The sequence below is a fragment of the Homo sapiens genome, chromosome 1 (assembly GCF_000001405.40).
Source record: "Homo sapiens chromosome 1, GRCh38.p14 Primary Assembly".
NCBI classification, from domain to species: Eukaryota; Metazoa; Chordata; class Mammalia; order Primates; family Hominidae; genus Homo; species Homo sapiens.
In genome coordinates this window covers 33,744,567-33,771,904 of record NC_000001.11, presented here as the reverse complement: position 1 = coordinate 33,771,904, position 27,338 = coordinate 33,744,567, and the positions used below count along the sequence as shown (strand labels likewise).

General features: G+C 41.8%; 1 protein-coding gene across 12 annotated transcripts in view; it reads left to right on the top strand.

Moving 5' to 3' along the window:
- The window catches only part of CSMD2 (CUB and Sushi multiple domains 2), a 651,845-nt gene that overhangs the window by 393,938 nt on the left and 230,569 nt on the right, over nucleotides 1-27,338 (top strand). The gene's annotated exons all lie outside the window — the stretch shown is intronic.

Here is a 27,338-nt window from a genome sequence, read left to right as displayed (position 1 = left end):
TGAGGGGCTGTGTGTAGCCAAGGGAGGCCCAGACATGGTCTCTGTGGGAAATCAAAATTTCCAGCTTCTCTGGGCTGTTACGTCTTCTCCCATCCCTTGTCACTCCACCTTCTCCATCTCTTTCCATGTGCTTCTCTCAGGGAAAGGCAGGCAGCCTGACCCTCAGATCCTTCACCCGGCTCAGTGGGTTACTTGGGGCCTCGAGTTCTGCACACTAGAGATCGGTGATCCCTCAGGGCTGGGAGAGGAATAGCCTGGGAGACTGTCAGGGTCTCTGTGATGACTGAGAGTTTGGTGTATGAGTTGATGAGTTGGGATGAACCATGGTGATGATACTTTTTAAATGAAAAAAAAAAATCACGTTGTCCAACAAAGCATTTTGATGACTTTTGAGTTTATTTATGTAAAAAGTCTTGAGAGGTTTAAAGATCAAGTCACCCTTAAATACACATTGAACAACTCACCCTTATTGAAAAAAAAATAAATTGCATGATATCTGCCCATCCCTGCTCCCCACTGTGGTTAGAATATAGAGCCCAACAGCATTAGCCACGTAGCATGCTGGGAGCCACAAGGACCTGGAGGAGCAGGGAGCAGCTCGGGGCAGGCAAACACAAAGGCTTTGCCCATTGCAGAGACCAAGCCCAGGGACAGGTGCACGGGGCAGGGCTCTGCAGAAGCAGGGCCTGAGAAGATAAAGGTACACACAGTGGGAGCCCCAGGTGCCATGGGGGCTTAATCTCTGAAATCCATCTAGATAAAACAAGGCAGGGAGAAATGGAGGAGGGTCTAGCTTCTGCGACAAAGAGCTGGGAGGATTCACATGGGAAGCAAAACCAGCCAGCCTCTTAGGACCAGGATAAGATTCACTGTCCCCCAAGCTGAAAGAGGCAGGTAGCAGAATGCCAGCTGAGGGACTGTTGCTTGACCCCTCCAAGAGTTTACTTGGCCCTTTGGCTCTTAGGAGCAGGTTTATAACATCCCTGTAAAACCTTCACCAAGGGCAGAAGACCTTGAAGTGCTGCCCAGCAGGCCCTTGGTGTCCACAAGCAGGGCCGGCAGCCTCCAGTGAGCTGGGCACTGCTTGCAAACAGCTGAGAAGGAAAGAAGATAGGTCTGTCCCAACAAGTATGTGTCAGTGCTCCCTGTGGTTTGAAACAAGGATGAGGGGTCTGAGGCTTATGGATGAAAGCTAAGCAGGTACTCTGGGGAGCTGACATGGCATTTCTTCTTCTAGACAATTCTGGGATAGAGCAGGATGACATCCCCAGGCCCTTCCATCACTCAAGTGTGTCTGGACATTGGAGAGTAAGAGGACACAGCTTGAATCTCAGGGATGCTGGCTTCCATGGAGGAAGCCAGAGGGAGCCAACCGGCCCCATGCCTTTGCAGCATATAGCCAGGTCACCCTTGCATTTCAACAAAGTGAGGGACTTCCATCTGCCCACTCCCTACTGAGTACCCAGCAGGTAAGCTGATGCTTTTATAGGTCCTGGGCATTGCCCTCAGGGAGCTCATAGTCCAATTGGTGATAAGAAAGTATGGTGATAAGAAAGGCCTGGTACACTGAGATGACTTTGGTTTCAAAATCTGAAGACCAGGTTCTTAGTTCTAGCTCAGCTTTGTGGCTAAAGCCAAGCATCTTCTCTCTGGATTTTCATGTACTGACCTATCCAATAGGGTAGCACTCCATTGTGGCTCCAAATATTCTAAGCCTCTATGATCATATTTGTAGAAAAAGATGACTATGACATGAATAGTCCTCACATTTCCCACAATAAATACCTGGAAGCTACTTTGAAAGTGGATCATTACAGAGCAGGTCATACTTCGATTGAGAGACAATGTTAAACTTTGGAGTTCTGCTCTTAACTCTAGATCAAATATAATGTTATCAATAGAAAAGGGACAATACCTATAAACATCTATAAAAATATAAAATATAAGGTTGGTCTCTGTGTTTTACAAAGCGCTCATAAATGTACATACAAAAGCTCCTCTAGCAAAAGTCAGCATAAGTGCCCTAAATTTTCCAATACATTAGTCACAATAAATATTAATACAATACTTGGCAAATAACATTGCCCTTTCCTTATTGAGAGCTATAAGGGGATTGGGGATATTATTTCAATGGCTCAAATTTATTTGAGAAGTTGTCTGAAGAGGTGCAAAGTATTGTATTGTTCTTCTCTTGAAACATTTTCTTCAAAACAACTCTTTACTAGGGAATTACCCTGCCAAGAATACACAAATACACTCTTCCTTCATGTTCCAAAACATTTTCTGTAGCAAGCAGAGACTTCAGAATCATTTTGTTGGCTTTTGAGCTGCCCTCACAGTAGTAGATGCTCAATAGATAGTCTTTTTTTAATTTAGGTTTTTAAGAAGATGATTTATCTCACAGTGAAAAACGTTTTGAAAGAAAAGGTGGAGCTAGCTTCTTTGCTCTTACTCTCTGGTCCTCAGTTAATTCACATCTCCCGGGACCCCTGCTCAAAATCAATGGGAAGTAATACCACTTTCCATCCATTCAAGCTATTGACTGCCTGTCTTCCCTGTGCTGAGCACCATGCATTGGATTCAGAGTTGTTCAGTCTCTGCCTAGGAAATTGCTCATCCTGGCTGTCATGGTGGGAAAGCTTTGGCCAGGCTGCATATATTCTTTACCTTCCAGAAGCTTTGCCATTTTACTTCCTTCCTTACAAAAGAATAGAGAGCATTTCCCATACAATCTTGTCCAGCTATTCTTCCACCACAAGAGATACAATGGCAAGGAAGATACAAATAACTCTGATGGTGGTTTGCACAATACTTGATGCTTTGACGACAGGCTGGCAGAATGCTTCACACTTCTTAAGGAAGCCAGGAAACCAATTATCAATCCATTAGCAGCCACTTTCAAAAGAAGCTTCAAAACAGCCTTCACCAGAGATATGCCAAGAATGCATGAATGCACACTTTCCTTTGCCATTTTGTAAACCACCTTAAGAAGATGTGAATCCTAATTGCTCAGTTCTTAATGTGTATAGTATATGTGTGAAATGTGAAGGCAGGAACTTCTTGGATGTATACGATTTAAGTTACAAATCAGCAATCTAATCTTGAGAGGTCAAGGGAGGGAAAATTGGATCCTTGGGTGCTCAGGGAAAATGTCCCAGAAGATACAAGACTTGAGCTGGGCTTTTGGAGAGTTGGAAGGGAAAGAGATGCTGTGGGAAATGGCCCACAGAGATGCTGTGGGAAATGGCCCTACTGGCCCTCTGCTAGTATCTTCCTGTCCTTTACTCTGACTTCCTCCTTACTTATCCCACCTTCTGTTCTGGTGACACACACACACACACACACACACACACACACACACACACACATGCACGCACACATTCCGGGATGAATTGGGTAATGGGATCTGCAAGAATCTGGTCTCTCCCATGGACCATTACTCCAGAGTAGAGTTTCTCAAACTTAGCACTATTGATATTTTGGCCTAGATAATTCTTTTTGTGTGGGGCAGTATTGTGTATTATAGGATATTTAACACATCTCTGTCATCTACCAGTAGCACCCGCCCCACACACCAGCTGTGACAGCCAAAAATATCTCTAGACATTGCCAAATATTCCCTGGGGGAAAAAAATCACAGATTAAGAACGACTAGTCTAGGATAACTTAGTTTTGTCAAATTCCAAATATGAAGAATCCTATGGATTTGTGTTTTAAGTGAGGCTATGATTAAAGTCTGTAGCATTATGACAGTGGGAAGGCATGGGTTAGAGGAGAATGCCAATTTTATTAAATGTTCTACATTATTGGGAATATATGAGTCCTCCCTACTGTGTTATAGGGTATTTATTCTCTCAATTTATAGATTAAAACAAGGTTCAAAGAAATATAACTAACACGATGGTCATAGAACCACTAAATAATAGGCTGGAATTTGAGCTGTTAATTAACAGAGCAGCAATTTGCACCCAGGTTCTTGCTGCAAGTCTTGCCCTGTCTCCATTGCACTAGATTTCTAGAAGTTTAGGGATCATCTGCAAATGTAAGGACAAGGAAGCCTTAGGATAAAAATACTAGGCCAGAGTATAGAAGCAAACTGCTGGCCGAGTTACCTGTATGAAGCAACAAAGGTTGACAGGAGTTAGACAAATCCAAGAAAGGTAGATTTGTGACCCTTACTGGAAATCTATCAATATTGTATACCCCCAACATACAATATACTGGGGTTGAAACCTCTTCCTAATCTTTACATTTTCTCTGTTCCTTCTACCCGTTCATTTATTTATCCATCTTGATTTATTGAGTACCTGCTATGTACAAAGTTAGCTGCATAAGAGGGTATGGCTGTTCCTGGTCAAATTCTAAACTGAAGGGCCTTTGGGGATGATCCTGCTAAGGTTAAAGGGACAATCTCATGGTGTCATGCCCTATATAATGTGCTGTAACTCTATCTCTAGACGTATCTGGAGCTCAAGGGCCAATACTTGACAGAGACTTTTGGTATGTTCTCATATTTTTCAAGTTTAAGCTAATTTAATGGTTTAAATAAATCTACAAGTTTAAATAAAGAAAATATTCATATTCTCTCTCCCTTAAACCAAACTGATTTCAAATTCGACCAGTCTTTTTTTATTCTTACCCATCTATACACATATGTTATGTGGTCTTCATCAGAGTGAGCATACCATTTTGCATTCTATGTTTTAAAGCCCATATTCTGCTGTGAATCTTACCATGTTGCTACATAGTTATCATTCTTAAAAATCTGTGGGTTCTTCTGTCAAGTGAATAAACCATGACTTATTCAACCAATTATATTTAATTATTTTATATAAGGCTATAATGAGCATCTTCAGCCTATGGCTTTTTCTTCTCTTGAATTATTTCCTTAGAATAAATTTCTAGAATTGACATTATCCGATCAGGACATGAGTATTTTTATGACTCTTGATGCATACTGTTGCATGGTTTCCCCAAAATATGGTGTCGGTTCATAATGCCAGTAGCAAAAGCTGTAAGATTAAGAACAAGACTCAAAACGTATGGTCTTTCCATCCAGAAACATGGCATGCCTCTATTTCATGTTTATCTACTTTCACTTTTCTAAAGATAACAACTTTGTGGTTTTCTCGTTTAGGTCACATATATATTGCTTGTAAACTTTGTTAGCTTCACTAAACTTCAAATATTTGTGTGGCCATTTAAAAGTTGCTAATTTAATAGCTGTAAGTTGAATCTATTTCTGTAGCACACCTTTGTGGACTACTGTGAAGTGCCCAAGGTTAAGTGCCACGAATTCAGAGATGAATTGGGCACGGTCCGTGTCCTCAAGGAGCTCTTCTCATGTGGAGATAGACACCATTATATAAATGAAGTGGGCCCTTGTGGCTTATAATTTAGTTTTTCAATGAGAAAACATTGATGCTATGAATATTAGGTTCATTCTTTTATTTAACACATATTTATTGAGTGCCTGCAATGTGGTGGGCATCATAGTGGGTGCTGAACAGAAGAGCAACAGCCCCTCTTCTCATGGGGCATAGACTTGACATCTTCTCTGTTAGAATGGTTGGGCCCGAAAGATGAGAGGCCCTGCTGGAAAAGGAGACATCCAAGAGGCAGCAGTGGGTTCTGGGAGAAGCCACTGGGTTTGGGCCTATGCAAAAGGGACATGTTCCGTAGATACATTGACGCACACATAAACACCCACACACACACGCGCGCCCACACTGCAGGACTGGGTACTTGGGTTTGTAATGGTTCCTATAGGGGTTGGCTGTTGCCTAATGGATATGAATGAAGAAGGGAGGTGGGTTTATGGGAGCACAGTCTGGAGACAGACTGCTGGGTAGCCATGGGCCAGAGACATGTCCCTGTTGGGGTAAGAGGTATAAAAGAGGTGTCTGGAGGACTGCCAAGATTGCCATCACAGGGCACTGGATAGAGACTTCAGTCTTGGCCTTTCTTCAGCCGACCTGGTTCCAGCCCTGTCTAGGAGGGACATGGGGCATTTGCTGTTTCCAATCCCTGTATAGTGACTACTGGTACTGACATGTGGCTACTGAGGTGTTGGTATTCTTTCCCAATTTGAAGGCATTCTTTCTACATTGTGTATAGAAATTCTTTGTGGTATTTGATATATGTATTTTCCCAACCTCATTTTCCCTATTTATTTTCTATTTTTCATTGTATAGTTGTCTTACATTTCTATATAAACAAGTCTCTCAGTATTTGTGATTTATTTTCAAAGCTGACAAAGTTATTCTGCCATGGATCTGAGAAACAGTTCGTTCTATTTTTGGTTATTTGTCAGTAATTTGATTTTTTAAAATATAATTTGTTACTCCATCTGGAGTTTACTTAGATGAATGTATAATATTGTCCAAACTATTATGCAGTTTTCCAACACAATTTATTAAGTAATTCATTTCCCTTTTGATTTGAGGGAAATGAATTGTTTTATTACATACTGAATCCTCAAATGTAGTTAAGTCTATTTCTTGAGTCACCACTTTGTTCTGCTGCTCTATTTCTATCTTAGCACTGGTATTGAATAATTTTAATTGTTGTTTTATAATGTGTTCTAATATCTGGCAGAGCTAGAAACAACTCCTTCCTCCCTGAATTATTTTCTCTTTCAGAATATTCATTGTTATTCTCATCTGTTTGTTGTTCAAGATTAATTTTAGAATCATTTTGTCAGAGTAAAAAAAACATCCTATTGGGATTTTTGTATGTGCACTCCTGTTAAAATATAAATTAACTTGAAGAAAATAGGCATTTTTATAATACACAGCCCTCATATCCAGACACATGTTTTTGTTCGCCTACTTCCGTCTTTCTAAATATAACAGCTCCATGGTTTTCTTCATATAGGTCACATGCATTGCTTCGCATACATTGCTTGTCACCTTTATTCTTAAATAGGCAGGTACTTTTTTCATTTCTCCTCCCACCCTGACCTCAATGCCACATGCACAGGTGAAGCATGCTCTATTTTCCCTCCCCTCTATGGCTGAAACCTAGTGTTCCCTGTAAACATACAATCCCAGATTTTCCAGGACAAATGCAATTTCAAACATCATTTCCCTTGGCCCAGAAAATATGATCACAATAGCTAGAGTCCTTGGAAATTGCCTTTTTCAAATGATCAGAGCCAGAGTTGGGATCAGCAAAGATTTAAATGCATCAGCCTCAGCATGAGGGATAATATTCCTGGGAACTGTTTGTGATTAGGCCAGGGACCGTGATCGGTGTGAGCTTCCTCTGCTTAATGTAACATTCCCCTCATTTCTCTAGACTTCTTTCAAGGTTTCATTGACCTACAGATAGCCCCAGAAAATAAACAGGGAACTTAGGAAGTCCCAGGTCTCCCTCCCTCTGTTATCCAGTCCTCAAGAACCTGAACACTGAAGACCTGTGGTTTCCCTTTGCTAGTGGCAGGCAGAGCAGGGGGTGCCCGCTCTGCAGAATTCTCCCAGTGATCTGAAGGGGACGTCGCCTTGAGTGGAAAGTCAGGGGTGGTAGCAGGATGGGGGAGGGTCTGTATCTGCTACTGTACTGGAGAATGGGCACTAGTCATAGCTATGAAGCGTCCCAGGGCCATGGGGCAGCCTGGGAAGTGTATGCCAGAGTTGAGGGAGTCCAGGGCTGAAAGAGCTGACCCTGGATGAAGGAATGGGTCACAAAGGAGGCTGCTGGTGTTGCCTCTCAGAATGTACAAGGAGGTGGAGTCAATTCTTGTCCTACCAGGCCAGTATGGGTCATATCATTGCCTGTTACCTTTGTTTTCAAATAGGCAGATACTTTATGGGGGAAGGAAGATTCTGGATTGACTCATGTCCTCACCCAAGGGAATAGGGTGTATCCCGGCAAAGTATATCCTTGACCCATCCAAAGGCTTCAGTCTCCAAAAAGAGACTTCAGTCTCACAGCAGAGACTAGAGAGGAAACCATGAACCAGAATAGAAGCCCAGTCCTTGGACTGGGGCATACATATTGAAGAAGGGTTAGCAGGAGAGGGAGATCCTAAAACTGAGTGGGCCTATATGTATGCTGGGCTTCTCACAAGCCCACCAGTTACTGGCTCTGTGCAGCCACACACATCTCACCCCAACAGTTTGTAGGACTAGAACTTCCCAAAGTACCATCATGCTTAGCTGGGCTTGGCTTAGAATCTGGCTGTAAGAACCAAGCCCGTGGGATCCAGCTCTTCAGTGTACCTGGCCAGGGTGAAATCAGGCAGACTGAAGGGATGGCTCACGAAGGAGGCTCCCAGCATTTCCTATCAGGATGTCCAAGGAATTAGTCAACACTTTCCCTGCCAGGCCAGTGTGAGTCACATACATCACTTGTTTCCTTTATGCCTAAACAGTCAGGTACTTTATAGGAGAAGGAAGTGTCTTTGGTGGCCCTGCGTGGTCTAAAGTAGACCCAAACCCAGCTAACCATTAGAATCACTCATAGGCCTTTTAAAATACAAAATTCTTGGCCTTGTCCCCCAAAATTCCAATTCAGTAGGTCCAAAATGGGGCCTAGGAATTGTAGTTCTAAAAAACTCCTAGATGATCTAGACATTAGGTCATATTTCTGAACAACTAGTATGGAACACATACTGTATGCCAGTTGCTTGGGGAAAGTTTTGTGTCAGTTCTGTGAGGTTTGGTCCCTTGAATTTGTCTCTTGAATTCCTTTCTTGAATTCCTCTGGGCTAATGGGAAGGCTTGAGCTCTTGGATTACATCATGCCAAGAGACTTTTTTCCTAGCTAATACTTGTGTCATGCCAAGATACATGGGGTTGTGATACATGTGGTGATACGTTGTGTTCATATGCTGTTGCTATTAAGTTGGCCAGGCTGAGCTGCCATAACTCAGTTATTAGGATGATTGTAGTCTCCCAGGGTCCGTGGGATGTTGACCTCCATGTTGGTATCCCATCAAGGAGTGAGATGCATGGTCCAGTACTCCCACATTACAACTTGATGTTTTTCATTTAATTTAAATGCAGCAAAATGTGGAAGGGAGTGGGTACTATGTACTGGCCATTACACTCAGCACCGGGCAAGTGATGAAGATGATTCAAACATGGTTCTTGCCCTCCAAGAGCTCATAGTCTAGTGAGTAAGATAAGCATGTGCTTTTATTTTAAAGCAGTCTCTGAATTATTGCACATAGATGTGGTCACAAAGTGCTACCAGAATGTAGAGGAAGAAAAATTCATTCCAACTGGCAGATTTTCAGAAGTCTTCTTGGAAGATTGTAGCACAGGCAAAAATTTCAGTCCAATCCAACCCAGGAATCTGTCCAAAACCAAACTGTGAACACAGTTTAATCCAAGGCCCAGTTCAAAGGCCTTATTCCAGCTAAGAGTCCTGGTCCAAGGTATATTAGGACCACAGCTACCTGCGTGGAAGAGGAACTGGGAAAACTGGTCAAGCTTTAGGAGTCTAATCCTGGGCTGTGACCTCTACTTATAGGGGAATGAGGTATCTCTGTCATTCTCATTTCAGCTTTCACCTTTGGGATCAAGCCAACAGGCTCTGTTTTCTCTGTAAAATATCCAAAGTTGTGTGTATGCATTCTCCACTGTGCTCTGCCATGCCTGACTCAGAGAGCTGTGGAGGCCAACAGAGTTTCCCCAGCCAGGGTCTGTTTTCACAGCTGCTGGCTCAAAAGCTGGAGCTTGAAGTTCTATCAATACCCCAACCCTGTTCTTTGAGCCTCTTGGTGAATTTGTCATCTTACTTGAACATATGTGCATTACTATCAGCCCTCAGTGATGTGGGTGTCCTCAGACTCTGTGGTCCTCGGGGAAGGCACTACATACCTTTTCTAGGGCTTGGCTTTCTAAGAGGGCCTTGGGTTACCCCCTCTTGTGTTGATTGGCCCTTCCTCTAGGCCTTATGTACAAGAGCAATCTTTTGGGTGACTCAGGGGAGGTGGGTTCAGAGAAAAGGCTCCTGGCCCTAGGCTACCTGATCAACTCTCATCTTGCTCTGGGACTTAGATCAGACTCCCCCATGGTCTTGCAGGGAGCTCCCCCAGGCTACCTGTAAACTCCCTTGGATTATCGTGTTTCCCCTGGAAGAAAATCCAAATGTACTTCCTTGTGTCATGGAGAACAATCAGCATGTATTGTTTTCCAGTCTTCAGTGGGTGGTGGTCTGAGGCATGAATGGACCATGGCAGTTCTAGACTCCTTGAGTGAGGATGCTCTGACGAACAGGCTTAGAATGCATGATGGAGCTCTCTAACAGAGCTCAGGGGCTCAAGTGAAGAGGACAGGCCCTGAGTGCCTCAAAGACCCAGGGACCTGGGCCTACAGTCCTGAGAACATCCCCTGAGTTGTTGAAGATGTGATCCACACCCTTCCTTGAATTCCTCTGGGCTAATGGGAAGGCTTGAGCTCTTGGATTACATCATGCCAAGATACTTTTTTCCTAGCTAATACCTGTGTCTGGCTGACCAGATTAATAAGAGCAGCTGAAGCTAACCTTAGCTGGGCATAGAGACCATCTGGGATCTGCCCATGTAGGAAGAATAGGACGCTACGAGTATCACTCATAGGATCCTGGGGGCTGGGTGCAGGCAGCTGTGGGATCTCACAGGAGAGAAGCACTTTTGAGTAGCCTTTGCTTGGGACATGGAAAGACTGGGTCATCAGGACTTCCATCTGTTCCCCAACATGTCACAGTTCCTCAGAATCTCACAGTGAGACTCAAGACTGACAGAATATCCAACACTCAAGTGAAGGGCTGTTCAGTACCAGGTACCCCCATGCAGCTGACAGTGCCTCTCCTTTCTAAGGTTATCTGCCCACAGATCTGCTCACAGAAGGTGCCTCACCAGGTCACAGTTGGCAGTCGAGCAGTCAGTCATTCCTGCAAATGGGGAGTTTTGTCAGAATCTTCTGGACTTGGAGTTACCTGTTCATTCCTTGAGGAGAGGAGGGACTGAGGATCAAAGAGCAAACCTTTTGGCCTGGGGTCTTGCTGGATTGAGGGTGTGGTAAGGGAGAAGTGGGGAGACACCACTTTTGCTGCCTTAGTAGGCTGATTAAGACTAGGAGATACACCAAGCAGAAGCATGCGTGGAGACAGCCATCAGCAGCAGAGTGGGGATGTCCCTCTTGTTTCAAATTCAGCCAAAATTGAATGTATACCTTCCCTGAGCCCAGCACAGTGCTGTGTTCCATGCCTTCACAAACTTCATTGCGTTGAGTCTTCACAACAAAGCTGTAATTTAGAAGTTATTAATCCCATTTTTATATATGAGGGGAAAGACTCAATGATGTAAAGTACCTGCCCTCTTCCTTCCTCCCAAATGCGTACAGCTAATAAGTGAAAAATACATGCAAACCCCCAATTTTTAGAAGGATTCATATTTGCTCCAACTTTGGCATGGTGGCTTGGTCTGGCTACGTATATTTTCCAAAGAACTTATGGTCTGTTTTCAAGGTAAAAGCTGAGCCCCAAGAGTGTGGACTCAGCTACTTCCCAGTAGCATAGGGCAGGAGGCCTTTTTTGTGCTTTGTTCCATAAGGTATCAGAATCTTTCCTGTGAGCTGGGGATATGAGTTCCTCAGCCAGCCACTGAGGAATGCATGAAAATCCCAGTGCAGAGCCTGGCCTTGGGAAAGACCTCTAAACATCTCAATGAAGAGGGCCTAAAGGCCGGGGTAAGCACCTGGAATGGTTTGGTGGGGACAATGCATTATTCCAGAGGTGTGGCAAGAATCAGTCATGGCCACAGGGTAATTCCAGGCAGTGGGTAATTTCCAAAGGTTATGCTGATGAACAGTCATGTAATTTATACCAAGAACCTAGCCAACCTCTATGGGATACAGGTAACAGGGTCCAGCCATAGAGGGCAAGAACTTAGCAATCATCAGACCCCTACCAATGAGCTTCAGTTTAGGATTCCAGTTCCAGAGGGGATTGAGTTGTGAATGAGGAACTTGAAGCAAAAGCTAGTTTCATGAATAGCTGCTACCATGAGTAGGGTGACAATATATCCCTATTTGCTTGGGACAATCCCAGTTTACATCTTTTGTTCTAGGTAATTATCCATAGTGCCATCTTTCATTCTCAAAACCAGTTTGGGCAATATGTTACGTGGGTACCCTAACATGCCAAAGACCTCATGCCAAGAAAGGAATTGGGCCTCAGTGATTGATTTGAATGCCATGCCAAGAGGGATCTGAGTCAGAGGTCTATGAGGCTATATATAGTGGTTTATCTTTTTTTTCTTACTTGTCACTGACTTGAAACTCAAGCTCTGGGCTGGGCACAGTCGCTCATGCCTGTAATCCCAGCACTTTGGGAGGCCAAGGCAGGCAGATCACGAGGTCAGGAGATCGAGACCATCCTGGCTAACACCGTGAAACCCCATCTCTACTAAAAATACAAAAAATTAGCCGGGCATGGTGGCGGGCGCCTGTAGTCCCAGGTACTCAGGAGGCTGAGGCAGGAGAATGGCGTGAACCCGGGAGGCAGAGCTTGCAGTGAGCAGAGATTGCGCCACTGCACTCTAGCCTGGGTGACAGAGAGAAACTCTGTCTCAAAAAAAAAAAAAAAAAAAGAAAAAAAAAGAAAAGAAACTCAAGCTCTGTATGATTAACCCCTTCCTACCTCTCTCCCCCTCATCCCATGCCGCTCTTCCATCAAAACTCTTGCCTACCTCAATGCCTTTCCACTTACAGTTCACCATGTTGGAGTGTCCCTCACAAGACTGGCTCCATCTCATCATTCCTTAACTGTCACATTCCCAGAGAGACCATCTCTAACCACCTTATCCAGAAGAGCGATGTCACTTTTTATTTCCTTCATACCCTTTTTTATAAGTGTATTAGTCAACTTTTGCTGTGGCATCAACAGCCCGAAACTCTCAATGACTTGAAACAATAAATATTTATTTATTACTCATATCTCAAGAGGGTTGTAAGTCAGCTGCAGCTCTGCAGGGCTCTCCTGGGCTCCACATAACATCTCGTTCTGGGACACAGGCTGAAGGACCACGTTGTGCCTAGAGCATGTTGTTCTCATGCCAGAAGGCAGAAGCTTCAGGGAACAGAGCCAAACTACTCAAGTACATTTATAGCCTCTGCTTGGAAATGCCTACGTCATGTCCACTCACAATTCCGTGGGCTAAAGTAAATTGCAAGACTAAGCCCAAAGTCAATGGGGATAGGGAAGAGAGCACCACCTCAAGAGATGTATAGCAAGGGCAAGGAGAGAACAAATGATTGTGAACAATTAGTATGATCTACCATAATAAGTGATGCTTATTTTATTTGTTGATTATCTGGCACCCTCACTAAACTATAAACTCCCTGAGGGCAGACCTGTATATGTCTAGTTCATTGTTGTACCAATCATACAGCAAATTCTTTGTAGTATTTTCCTATTTTTGTTACAATTATTATTAGTAGTGTTATATTGCTGCTATTATATAAACAAAGCCAACACAGCTGGAGTGAGAGAGCATTTGGTTTGGAAGATGCTTGGCCACCCAGGGTCTACTGGCAGCAGGATTTTATTCCACAGCCCTCAAGCTAGTGTAGTTATAGCCAAGAGTGGCTGAGGCCCTGAGTGCAATGAGCCTGTCATACAGACTCTATCACTGCAGCTAGGAAGGGTAAGTGGGGGAGGAGCGAACATTCTAGAAAAAGAAAATCACTGGGGCAAAAATACAAACATGGATTAGCCTTGCACATTTGGAGAGCTGCAAGTAGTTTAATCTGACTGGAGTGTAGGGTGCAATAGGGGAGGGTGGGGAGAGTGGAAAAATAAAAAAGATTGGCAAGGGCCTTAGGTCACTGAGAGTCTTTTGTGCCCCTACGAGGAGTCTAGACTTTATCTTCTGTGCAGCAGGGAGTCTTTAAGAAGTCCCAAGCACGGATGTAACAGCAAAAGAATTTGTGAGTTTCAAAATTGACCCTGGAGCCGATATGGAGGATGGATTCAAAATGAGTGAAATTTAAAATAGGACACCAGGTAGACTCTGGCAGTAGAAAGAGGGCCTCCACTTAATAGGGATGTGATGAGGATGTGACAAGTACAAGAGATACTGAAGAGATAGAATCAACAGAAGTTAGTTACTGATTGAATATGAGAGCGAGGGAGAAGGAGTTGACATATTTTGCTTAGGCAACTGGGTGTTGTCATTCATGGAGATAAGGAATGAAGGAGGCTTAGGAAAATAGATAAAGAGTTCAATTTTGGACATGCATTTGAGGTGCCGGTGGGATCTCCAGGAGGGATGTACATCAGACAGTTTTGCCTCAAGTCTGGAGTGTGGTAGGAGGGTTTGGGTTACTAGAATTTATTTTGGAGGCAGTGGCATAAAGGAAGCAAGAGTGGGGAGTGAGAAGAGCGCCTAGGGCAAACCTATACCTGGGTGATGGAAGGGCTGAGTCATTTGTTAATGCCAGGGAACATTCCAGGTCCCAGAGAACCTTGGTTCCCTTGAGAACCAAGTTTGGGGAACCTTAGCCCCTGAGAATCAAGTTTGGGGAAGAAGACAAAAAGTTCAATTGTGGACATGTTTTAAGTTGCTGTGACAAAATCCAAACTGACTCTCATGATTTTTTTTTATTATTATACTTTAAGTTTTAGGGTACATGTGCACAATGTGCAGGTTAGTTACATATGTATACATGTGCCATGCTGGTGTGCTGCACCCATTAACTCGTCATTTAGCTTTAGGTATATCTCCTAATGCTATCCCTCCCCACTCCCCCCACCCCACAACAGTCCCCAGATTGTGATGTTCCCCTTCCTGTGTCCACGTGTTCTCATTGTTCAATTCCCACCTATGAGTGAGAACATGTGTTGTTTGGTTTTTTGTCCTTGTGATAGTTTACTGAGAATGATGATTTCCAGTTTCATCCATGTCCCTACAAAGGACATGAACTCATCACTTTTTATGGCTGCATAGTATTCCATGGTGTATATGTGCCACATTTTCTTAATCCAGTCTATCATTGTTGGACATTTGGGTTGGTTCCAAGTCTTTGCTATTGTGAATAATGCCGCAATAAACATACGTGTGCATGTGTCTTTATAGCAGCATGATTTATAATCCTTTGGGTATATACCCAGTAATGGGATGGCTGGGTCAAATGGTATTTCTAGTTCTAGATCCCTGGACTCTCATGATTTTTAAAAGACCTTGCCATCCAACTCTCATAATTTTTAGAAGACCTTGTCATCCTCTTTAGTTTGTCTTGTGTTCCTTGCTCCATCTGTCACCCTGCTTCTACCTACCATGCTGGCCTCCCTTCTGTCCCTCACATGCACCAAGCTCATTCCCACCCCAGGGCCTTTGCCCTTGTAATTCTTTCCCCCTGCAGTGAACCTTCCTTAGAATGATTGGTTCCTTATCATCAGACCACAGTCCAAAGGCCACCTCCTCAGACAGGCCATTCCTGCTGCCTTATTAAAAGCAGCCCACCTCTATGCCATTCATTCCTTTTTTCGTCACCTCTTAGAATGTAAACTTCAGAGGGGCTAAGGACTTGCTTATCCATCTTGGTGGCTGCTGATCCCATACCTAGAATAGGGACAGACACATAGCAGGTGCTCCGTCACTCCATCAATACTTGAGCTAGGTGGAGACATTTCAAAGACCACTGGATACACAGGTCTGGCGTTCAGAAGAAATGTCTTTCCTGCAGGCATACACTTAGGAGTTACGTGAGGATGAGGTGCCCTAAAGAGGACAAGCAAGTGAGAAGATGACCCTGAAATGGATCTGTTCATATTTCAAAAGGTAAAAGCCAGGTAGAGAGGAAAGCTTTCAAATGACTGCCAAGGGACGGTCAGAGCTAGAGATGGAAAACCTGGAGAAGGTATTATGGAAGAACCAAAGTGTCTTAGGAATGAGAGAGGGCTAGCTCTGTTGAATGCCCTTCTAATTTGTCTCAGAACACCGATGCTCAAGTTCTACCTGTCCAAGAGGTGGAAACTGGGCAGAAAAAAAAGAAACACAAAAACTTGTGTACAAGCCAGGTGTCTAAGACCAGAGTGAGCAACATAGTGAGACCCCCCTCCCCCCGCACACACACATCTCTTAAAAAAAAATAAAAATAATTAGTCAGACATAGTGGCACACACCTATAGTCCCAGCTACTTGGGAAGCTGAGGTGGGAGGATCACTTTTAGCCCAGGAGTTCAGGACTACAGTGAGCTAGGATTGCACCACTGCACTGCAGCCTAGAGACAGTGAGACCCCTTTCTCTAAAAAATTGTTTAAAGAAAAAATAACTTGGGCACAATTTATGGTTTTTGGACTGGATTATATCAAATATGAATCTAGGAGGACATACATGTGCTCAGGAAATGTGCAGCCAGTATTGCCCATTTATCCTTCATACTCCTTTTGGAATGTGTGTGAGTTTCTAGACTGCATCCTCAGTATTCTCCTTAGAAAGAAAGGAGCCTAAAGTTAACTTAATCTTGTTTATGATAAGGATAAGCCCTGCCCAGTAACTAGCTTTGCCCTGATGCAGGTGACCTTGAGAAACTCACACAGTGTCTTTGGGACTAACATAGTTAAATGATAACTTTCACCAGGCTCTAGTGCCAGAGATGACATTAAGATAACTGAGACACAACTTTACATACACTGAGCTTCTGAGCAGAAAGAGGTGAAAGAAATTTAAGGTTGGGTTTGTGAAGCCTCTGCCTCCAGCTCAACAATAGCTGAATCAGCAGAGCTGCCTCAGTTTACTTACCTAGATTCATACACTGAAGCAAGAACAATCTGATTGGGCCACTTCTGCTTGGGTGAGCATTGCTGGATAAAATCACCCAACCAGACAAATTGGCACTGCTATAAATTCATGAACACCAATCTCAGTCAGGCTTACAACAGTGCCTAGCAATCCATCTGTGTTTCTCAAGTCATTCTCTTCTCCATTTCTCCATGGAAACTACCCCAAACATTCACTACCCTGCTCGAACCCATGAACAGCCCCTTCTCCTCACCTTACTCCTACCTCACAGGCAACACTCTCAATTTTCAAATACTAAAGACACCAAGCCTACAGACCAACACCCATCCTCGCCCTTCCTCTATTCTTCCCACCTTTTATAAGAGATGATCAATCCTTTCTCCCATCAAAAAACAATTTCCCTATAAATTACCCATCAAAAAATTTTTAGCATAACTCCATTTATGCTTTAGATAAGGAACCTTTAAAAACTTTTAACATAACAGTGAGAAATGTATTTTTACCTTGTAACTTTGTACACACTTGCACATAATTGAAACATACATTTCACAAGCAGTACTTACCTTTACTACTTACATTGAACTCAGATATTTCCTATGCTCTTCCTTTATTAGCCCATTCTTGCATTGTTATAAAGAAATTTCTGAGGCTGGGTAATTTATAAAGAAAAGAGTTTGAATTTGGCTCACAGTTCTGCAGGCTGTACAGGCATGGCACCAAGATCTGTTCAGCTCCTGATGAGGGCCTCAGGAAGCTTACAATTATGGCAGAAGGCAAAGGAGAGCCAGTGTATCACATGGCAAGAGTGGGAGCAAGATGGGGGTGGGGTAGGTGATAGGTACCACATTCTTTTAAACAACCAGATCTTGCATGAACTAGCAGAGCAAGGATTCACTTGTAGCCAAGGGGATGATGCTAAGCCACTCATGAAGAATCTAACCCCATTATCCAAATACCTCCCCCCAGGCCCCATGTCCAACATTAAGGATTACATTTCAATGTGCTATTCGGAGGAGACAAATATCCAAACCATATCATTCTGTCCCTGGCTCCCCAAATCTCATGTCCTTTTCACATTGTAAAATACAATTATCCCTTCCCAATAGTCCCCCAAAGTCTTAACTTATTCCAGCATGAACCCAAAAGTCCTAAGTCTAAAGGCTCATCTGAAGATGAATTCCTTCCACCTATGAGCTGGTGAGATCAAAAGCAAATTATTTACTTCCCAGATACAATGGTGTGCAGACATTTGGCAAACATTCTCATTCCAAAAGGGAGAAACTGGCCAAAAGAAAGGGGTAACAGGCCCCACACAGTTCTAAAACCCAGCAAGGCAGAGATTAAATCTTAAAGATCCAACATAACCCTCGACTCCATATCCCACATCCTGGGCACATTGGTGCATGGGGTGAACTCCCAAGGCCTTGGACAGCTGTGCCTCTGTAGCTTTGCAGAGTGCAGTCCTTGTGGCTGCTCTCATGAGTTGGACTTGAACACCTGTTGCTTTTCCAGGCTCAGGATGCAAGCTTGCCATGACTCTACCATTTTGGAGTCTGGAGGGTGGCAGCCCCCTTCCCACAGCTCCACCAGGCACTTCACTGGTGGGACTCTGTGTGGGGGTTCCAACCCCACATTGCCACTCCACATCATCCTCTGAAATCTATGGAGAAATTGCCAAGCCTTCTTCATACTTGCATGCTGTGCACCCACAGGCTTAATATCGCATGAAAGCTGCTAAGGCTTATGGCAGCTTACACTCTCCAGAGCAGCAGCCCAAGCTGTATCTGGAGCCCTTTGAGCTGTGGTTGCAGCTGGAGCAGCCAGGATGCAGGGAGCGATGTTCTGAGGCTGCACAGGACTGCAGTGCCCCAGGCCTGGTCCCTGAAATCATTCTTTCCTCCTGGGCCTCTGGGCCTATGATGCGAGAGGCTGCTGCAAAGATTGCTGAAATGCCGTCAAGGCCTTTTTTCCATTGTCTTGGATGTTAGCACTTGGCTCCCTTTCAGTAATGCTAATCTCTCTAGCAAGTGGTTGCTCTACAGACTGCTTAGATTCTTTCTTTACCACAGGGTCAGGTTGCAAATTTTCCAAACTTTTGTGCTTTTCTTCTCTTTCAAATGTAAGTCCCAACTTTAAGTCATCTCTTTGCTCCTGTTCTGATCATGAGCTGTTAGAAGCAGCCATGCTAATTCTTGAATGCTTTGCTGCTTAGAAATTTTTTCCATCAGATACCCTAGGTCGTCACTCTTAAGTTCAAACTTGCAAAAAGCCCTAGGATATGGACTTAATGCAGCCAAGTTATTTGCTAGGGAGTAGCAAGGGTGACCTCTACACCAATTCCCCATAAGTTCCTCATTTCCATCTAAGACCTGTTAGCCTGGCCTTCACTGTCCCTATTTCTATCAGCATTTTGGTGACAACCTTTTAAACAGTCTCTAAGAAATTACAAACTCTCCCTCATTTTCTTATCTTCTGAGACCTTCAAACTCTTCCAACCTATCCCTGTTACCCAGTTCCAAAGCTGCTTCCACATCATCAGGTATCTTATAGTAACATCCCACACCCCTGGTACCAATTTTCTGTGTTAGCCCATTCTTGTATTTCTATAAATACTTGAAGCTGGGTAATTTATAAAGAAAAGAGGTTTGATTTGGCTCGTGGTTCTGCAGGCTGTACAGGCATGGCACCAACATCTGCTCAGCTCCTGGTGAGGGTCTCAGGAGGCTTACAATCATGGCAGAAGGCAAAACGGAGCCAGCGTATCATATGGTAAAAGTAGGAGCAAGGTAGGGTGGGGGCACCACACTCTTAAGAAACCAGATTTCATGTGAACTACCAGAACAAAAATTCACTCATCACCAAGGGGATGGCGCTAAGCCATTCAAGAGGGATCTGCCCCCATGAGTCCCACCAGGCCCAACCTCAAACATTGGGGATTACATTTCAACCTGAGATTTGGAGGAGACAAAAAACCAAACTATATATTTTTTTGTTTGTTGTTTGTTTTGTTTCTTAACATGAAATTTATGACCAGCTAATAACGGGTTGCAATCCACTGTTTAATACATTTAGCTATAAATTCTTCCTCACCTTTCACCTTTTCATGAATCTTATGCTTCAAATAATTCTTCCTCCTTCTGCTAACTCTTCAGCCACTTCCCTTCTGCCAGTTGCATTCCATCAACATTGAAATTTTCTCAGGCTGCTCTCATCAAAACAAAACAAAACAAAAAACACCCAACTTGGCTGGGCACAGTGGCTCATGCCTGTAATCCCAGCACTTTGGGAGGCCAAGGCAGGCAGATCATGAGGTCGAAAGATCAAGACCATCCTGGCCAACATGGTGAAACCCTATCTCTACTAAAAATACAAAAAAAAAAAAATTAGCTGGGCGTGGTGGCACACACCTGTATTCCCAGCTACTCAGGAGGCTGACACAGGAGTGCATGAACCCAGGAGGCAGAGGTTACGGTGAGCCAAGATTGCGCCACTGCACTCCAGCCTGGCAACAAAGTGAGACTCCGTCTCAATAATAATAATTTTAAAAAGTATCTTTCTTCACACTCTCATCTCCTTGCAGGTTCTCTAAGTCTCTTTCATACCCAAACTTCTGTAGCAGGATGTCTATGTACCCTTGCTGTGTTCATTTCTCACCTCCCAGTACCCTGTTACCCCACTCCATTCTGATTTCTGAGTCCACCACGTCTCTGAAATTGCTCTCACAAAACTCACCAATGAGTCTCATGTTGCTGAAACCCAGTGGATCATTTTCAGCCTAGATGATACATGGCGCTCAGCAGTCTTTCAAAACAGATGTCCCTTCCTCCTTCTGGAAACCCTCTTTCCTTGTCTGTATGACACCACTCTCCTGTGTTTTCTCCTACCTCTTGACTGCTTGGTCCCTGTCTGCCCTGCCAGTCCCCTTTCTCTCAAAAAGTTCAATGCCATCTTTTTTTTTTTTCCCAACTCAATAGCTCTGTTGTTTTAAGTTTTTGTTTTCTAATAATATTATATGTTTTTTCACCTCTTTATTAACCAACTTTATTTATTCTTTGTTGGTTGCCTCTTAATTTCCTTGGCCAATATTTCTATGTTGAGTGTACATCTTTCTGTCAAATTCCAATTCTTCATAGATGAAGGATAGTAAATATTTAAATGTAGTAACTTGCACATATTTTCTCTCCATTTGTCTCTCATTATTCAGCTTTTGTTTATGGTGATTTTTGAAATCTAAAATCTTCCATTTCTGTAGTTTAAAATTTCCCTTATGATTTCTAATTTTGGTGTAATACTAATAAAGTCCTTCCTTGCCTCCAACATTATACAAATATTCCTTATATTTTCTTCTAGGACTTCTCTGGTACATGGAATGAAGTGTGGACCTAATTTTGTCATTAACTGGCTAGCCATTTGTTCTAGCATCAGGTATTGATCAATCAACCCTCTCTCTGCTAATTTCAAAAGCCCCCTTTATCATATATTTTTGGTTCCTTTTCTGGACTTTCTTTTCCAGCTCTGTTGATCTCTCTTTTGAAGTCAATATAGTATAAATTATATTATTACAGCTTTATAATATGTTTTAGTATTTAATATCTGGGTTGTCAAGCCCTTCCTCCTCTGGGAGGAAGTAGGTGTCGTGGTCAAGAGCTTGAGCTCTGGTACTGGCCTGACTGGTTCATCTTCCCAGCTCTATCATCTACAGTGACTGTATGACCATGGGCAGATTAATTTAACATTTGGACTCAGCGTCTGTCTCTGTAAAGTAGGTTAATAATAGTACCTATCTCAGAGGGTTGCTGTGAGAGTTAATGAGTTGAGATACAGGAAGCTCTCAGAATGCCAACTAGCACCTTATATGCTATTATTCCTTATCTGTCTCAAGGAGAGCTCGGCTGTTTTCACCTGTTTACCAACAGATGGATCTTGCAATGGTTTTAAGTTCCAGAAAAAAAAAAGATCTGGCCTGGAATTGTGTTAAATTTGTACCATGATTTAGGACACTTTTCATCTTAGTAATATGAATTATTTTCAACCAGGAACATAGTTTGCCTCTCCATTAAAAATTTTTTTTCTTCCTATCAGTACAGTTTTGTTGTTTTTGTTGTGTAGGTCATGTTGGCTTATTGTTGTAGGGCTGAATTTGATTTTCTAGCACTTTGCATGAAGGATTTTCTATACTGTAGGTGTGTCATTGTGTTGGTGGATATGATTGTGTGTGTATCATACATATCATTGTTATGGGAGTATTGTATCAAAATCAATTTAAATAGCATGGCTATTACAAGTTTGTTTATAGTTTTGAAGCACTGGCCATGAAACCACCTACCCACTAAGTATTTTCCAGTTTCCTCAGGTTTTTCCCTTCATGCTAATTTTGGTAATTCAAATTTCTCTAGGAAATGCTCCATCTTATCCATATTTCATATGTTATGTATACTATTCTTTTATAGTTGGATTATCACCTTAGTGTTATTATAGCCTCCTATCCCTATGTATATTTATCTTTTCTATTTCTACTTATTGAGCAAACCAATCAGAAATTTTTATTGATCTCTTCAGAAGCCAATTTTTTTTTCTGTTTTTGTCTTTTCTAAGTTTATTCTCTCTTCTCTCCTTAATCATGTTCAGTTATTCTTTTGGTAACTTTTTAAGTATAAACACTAATTGCACTTATTTTATTTCTTTATTGTTTAATCATGAATAAAGCTATGAATTTTCTCCTTACTACAGCTTTGGTCTAGTATCATCATCATTATAAGAAGTCTGTATTGGCTGGGCGCAGTGGCTCACGCCTGTAATCCCAGCACTTTGGGAGGCCGAGGCGGGTGGATCATGAGGTCAGGAGATCGAGACCATCCTGGCTAACACGGCGAAACCCTGTCTCTACTAAAAATACAAAAAAATTAGCCGGGCGAGGTGGCAGGTGCCTGTAGTCCCAGCTACTCGGGATGCTGAGGCAAGAGAATGGCGTGAACCTGGGGGGGTGGAGCCTGCAGTGAGCCGAGATCAGGCCACTGCACTCCAGCCTGGGTGACAGCGAGACTCCGTCTCAAAAAAAAAAAAAAAAAAAAAAAAAGAAGTCTGTATTGATAGCTTTGTTTTCCTCATTGAGCTCAGGAACTTATTTGGAAAGAGTTTTATGAATTTTTAAGTGATTATGGATTTTTCTTTGTTCTTTTCTTATTGATGTCTAGTTTATTTGTACTGTGAACAGAAAATGTGGCCCAACAGTTTTTGCATTGTGATAGAATTTATGGGGATTTTCTTATAGCCTAATGTAAGGTCAATTTTGTAATAGTCCATGGGCACCTGTAAAGAAGTTTGCATTCCTTGTTTGAAGACTACAGAGTTTCATATAATATACACACTCATAATATTTTCAGATCCTTTTTATCTTGATCTTGATTTCAGGGTAGTATATTTTATTTTGTCTCTTTCATGCTTTTGGACATAAAGTATTATAACTGTCATATCTTTATTTTGTAATGGGCTCATTATCCATGTTTTAAATATGATATTTGGATTTTGTATTAGGTCTCTATAAAGGACTACTGAAAACTCTCTTTGTTTGGTGACAACACCAAAAGAAAAACATAATAAAAGAGGGGTCTTCAACAAGCCCCTTTTATTTTCTACTCAAGCTCATGTTAAATAATAACCTAATATAATGCACAGTAATTACACATCTACCTGTTAATAAGTTTCCCACCTTTATTATTTGTCAACAGTCTGACGCTTCTGACTTAAAAGTTTAGTCGACATCAAGATCCATGAGCACAGTCTGGTCACTACTCTGAAGGAGGAAGGTGCCTGATCTCCTTCTTTTAACCTGGGTGATTGAGGGTGATGAGATCCAATTACAACTTTTTAAAAATCCCTCATTTGCGACACTGAGAAGTAGGCTCTTCCTATTCTCTTACAGAAATATTACAATACAACATGCATACATAATTTTCCAGAGCAAGAAAGATTAGATCTTTGTAAGACAACGCACACTTCCTCTTCCTGCCCTTGTTGCAACAAGTCTGAGTACTCTTTTGAGATGGAAGACAGAGCTTTATAAGGCCACATTCTTGTTCTAAGAGTGTCAGTTTATCAGCCCTGTCTCCTTCCAGGTATAATAAGAAATGCCTCTTGGTAGCTGTCCAGAAAACTCTTGGCATAAGAAAAGGATCATCCAAGAGTCAGGTGTAATATAATATCCAAGGATCAGATATTAATATTAAAATTCCTTTTTTGTTGTTCACATTTGCCTCCACCAGTAGTTCTCAAACCCTGGCTGCAATTTGGGATCACCTGGGGAACTTTTTAAAATCGGTGATGCCCTGAGCCCAGTCCACCAATTAAATAGGAATATTTGAGACTTATATTGATAAATTACAGCACTCTTCTAATGTAAAGCCTGAGCTATCTTGGCCCATTCCTTTACTTTTGAGTATTCAGAGTCACTTTGTCTTAGCTGTGTGTTTTGTCCCAAAGAGAGGGTTGTATATTACTGGGAGATTAACCTGTATACATTTATTGTCATAACTGATGTTTTATCTTTTTTAAAGCATCTTACGTTACAACCCCCCTACCCCATGCTTCCTTGTTGTTTCCTTTGAATTTCTTTTTTCCTCCCTGAACTACTTTGCTTTTTCCCCTTTGGTAATTTTGAAGACAAGCTATTTCATATTCTATTACTAATTACACTTAACATCTTTAAAAGCATGCTCCAACCTATATTTCTCTAATTAACCACAGAAACTACAAAACAGGATTTCTTGCAAGATGAGCAAATTAGCATATCTCCTTGCTCCAACTTTACTCTTTGTGTCAGTAGAATCTGGAATATTCTACCCTAGAGTTTGGGCAGGAATAACGTCTTATATTTTCTGTTCCAAGGAATATTTGTTACGCTTGCATTTCATTTTATAACTATGTTTACATAAATTATTTAAATTCATTACCATATTGGTTTATTTGCTCATTGTCAATCTTTTTTTATGCTTTTTGTTAACCTCAACTTTATCCTACTTGAGTTTGTTGTTTAAATTCATCTCTTGGTTGGATAGGAGACATCTTTGAGTGGATGTGAGTAGGACATGTTTTGAGGCCTTTGATATTTAAGAGCAGCTTTCTGTTGCCTTTGCTGTTTAACAACTTGGCTCATTCATACCCTTTTCCACTGTAAATTATCTAGGGACACATCTGTACTATGTCTAAGATAAATACATGCAGGGTTACAGCACAGTATGTTTCTCTGTTTTCCAGAGTTGACACAGGTATCCATCTATTAATATTTGTACAGACTTTGGTCAATCTGTTGGTCGAGGTTTGGAGTGGGATGGGGTTATGAGACCCACATGTTCATGTCACCTTCTTTCAGAATGGTTTCAACCATTAGGTACTCATTGATTCATTCAGCAAATATTGGTTGAGCACCTACAATGTGTCAGGCATTGTGGGAGCCACTAGGGATTCAGCAGAATCAGATGAGATTTCTGCTGTCATGGAAGATCTGTGTATGTGTTGGGGAGAGGGAAGGACTGACCATCAACAGCTAAACATGTAAACAAGATAATTTTAGAGAATGATAAGCAGAGCTATCATATATAGCTGCTCAAATTCCAAAATGGTGCCCCTGGAGCTTTGCAACATGACAATCCTGGTTAAAGGTTCTAGAGAAAAAATAATACACTGATAGAGTGATGGAGGTGGGGAGAGGGTCTCAGGCCTTATTAATTAAATAGTCCTCTGCAGCAAATTTATTTGCTCACATACTCACAGTGCCCCTGACCATCTTCCCTCTGAAACTTTAGCACCTTTCTTTGTCTTCATCTGCCTTGGACTTGCTCAGCAGGCCCTGTGACTTGCCCCCTCTGCCTTCAAGGTCTTTGCCTTTGGGTTTTGATTCCTCATTATTTGCATTATGTTCCCAACTGAACTCCCACAAAGCTGGAGACAAGATGGCTGTGTGGGGGCATCCATGTCCAGCCTAGAGACTCCCAATTCAGTGCTAATGTAATATTTCAAGTCGACAGATGAATCTTCAGCAGATTTGAGGAACGCCTTCTAAGACTCCACGGTCACATAGGCCCAGGGGGAAGTGTTATTCTCATACTGAGAGACATGGTGGGGGGTTAGTAAGAGCTTGGTCTCTAGAATCAGGCTGCATTGATTTGGCTTTGGCGCTACCATTTACTGGCCCTGCATTACTTAACCTCTGTGTGCCTCAGTGTCTTCATCTTTAAATGGGGTTAATAACAATACCTACCTCGTAGCATTATAGTGACAGTTAAATTGAGCAAGTGATGGAAGTGCTTAGAATGGTGTCTACTCTTAGTTAAACCCTCAATAATATATAATAATAATTGCCATTAACTATATATTACATTACCTAAAAGCCTTTTCATGTCCTTCTCTCCCCTTGGCTCGAATTCTTTCTATACTTAAAATATACATGGATTACAGGGATGAGACTGAATGTGTCTTAAGAACCAGGCTTACTTTGCTGAATTGCATGGGAGGGCTTTTACAGCTGCAGACTGGAAAAGAAATACTTAATGCAGAAAATGGGGAGCTGGGCAGAGTCAGGGAGAATCAAGACTAAACTCATCACAAGGAGTCACCAATTTTTTTGTTTTAATGTTTTCCCCCCTTTGGCAAACATGATTTTATTATTTTTCATCTTAGCATCATTACCTTTAGTAAGTCAAATATTTTACTCACTTAAATATCAATTTAATTAACACCAAACATCTATATAAATGTTATAAATGGACTTAAATGTTTATCCATATTTGGAACTACCTTTTTTATGCTTGTATATATTAAAAGATGTTTAGAATGAACCTACAGCATTTTTGCAATCAGAAAAATTAAATGTTGTTTCATTTTGAACGCCTACGACCCTGATATAGTTTTTATTTGGGGGCTTATGTCCAGTCTTTATCCATTTATAAACAAATATTTAATAGCTATAATCAAAAGCATGCATATAATTTTATGATCTACTGCTTTATTTAAAATTATGTTTAACATTCTTTCTACAGGGTCATATTTATCACTTTAATGATTGCAGTCAAACTGTATCACATTAAAGGCTATAATTTACCTCACATTATTGGGCTGACATATAGTTTGTTCACATTTTTCCTCTATAATAAAATTATGTCATTGTAAACATCTTTGGCTAGGTGGCTCTTTTTCTTTTGAATTAATTCCTAGAGATTACTGAGTCAGTCTTTGAGTAGTTCTGTGGCTCTGGATGCGAACTTACATACTCCCTTCAAAAAGGATCATATCAGTTTTGCTCTGCAATTGGCAATAAATGCATGTATGAGATTCCATGAAGCCTCAACAATATTGGATTCTATATTTTTTCTTTATTTTTTCTATTGAAATGGACTGTGTTGTCATATTAATTCTATTTTCTTTCATATGAATCCTCTAAGCACTCTCTTTACTCATCTTAGTGATGTTCTTAGATAATTATAAAGGTTCTAATTCAATATTGATATTTTTCCTGTGTCATAAGCGTTGTGATTATTTTTTTCATTTTATTATTTTCTTTTATAATTTTGTTTTAGTATTTATTTGTTTTCTCATTTACAGCACTTT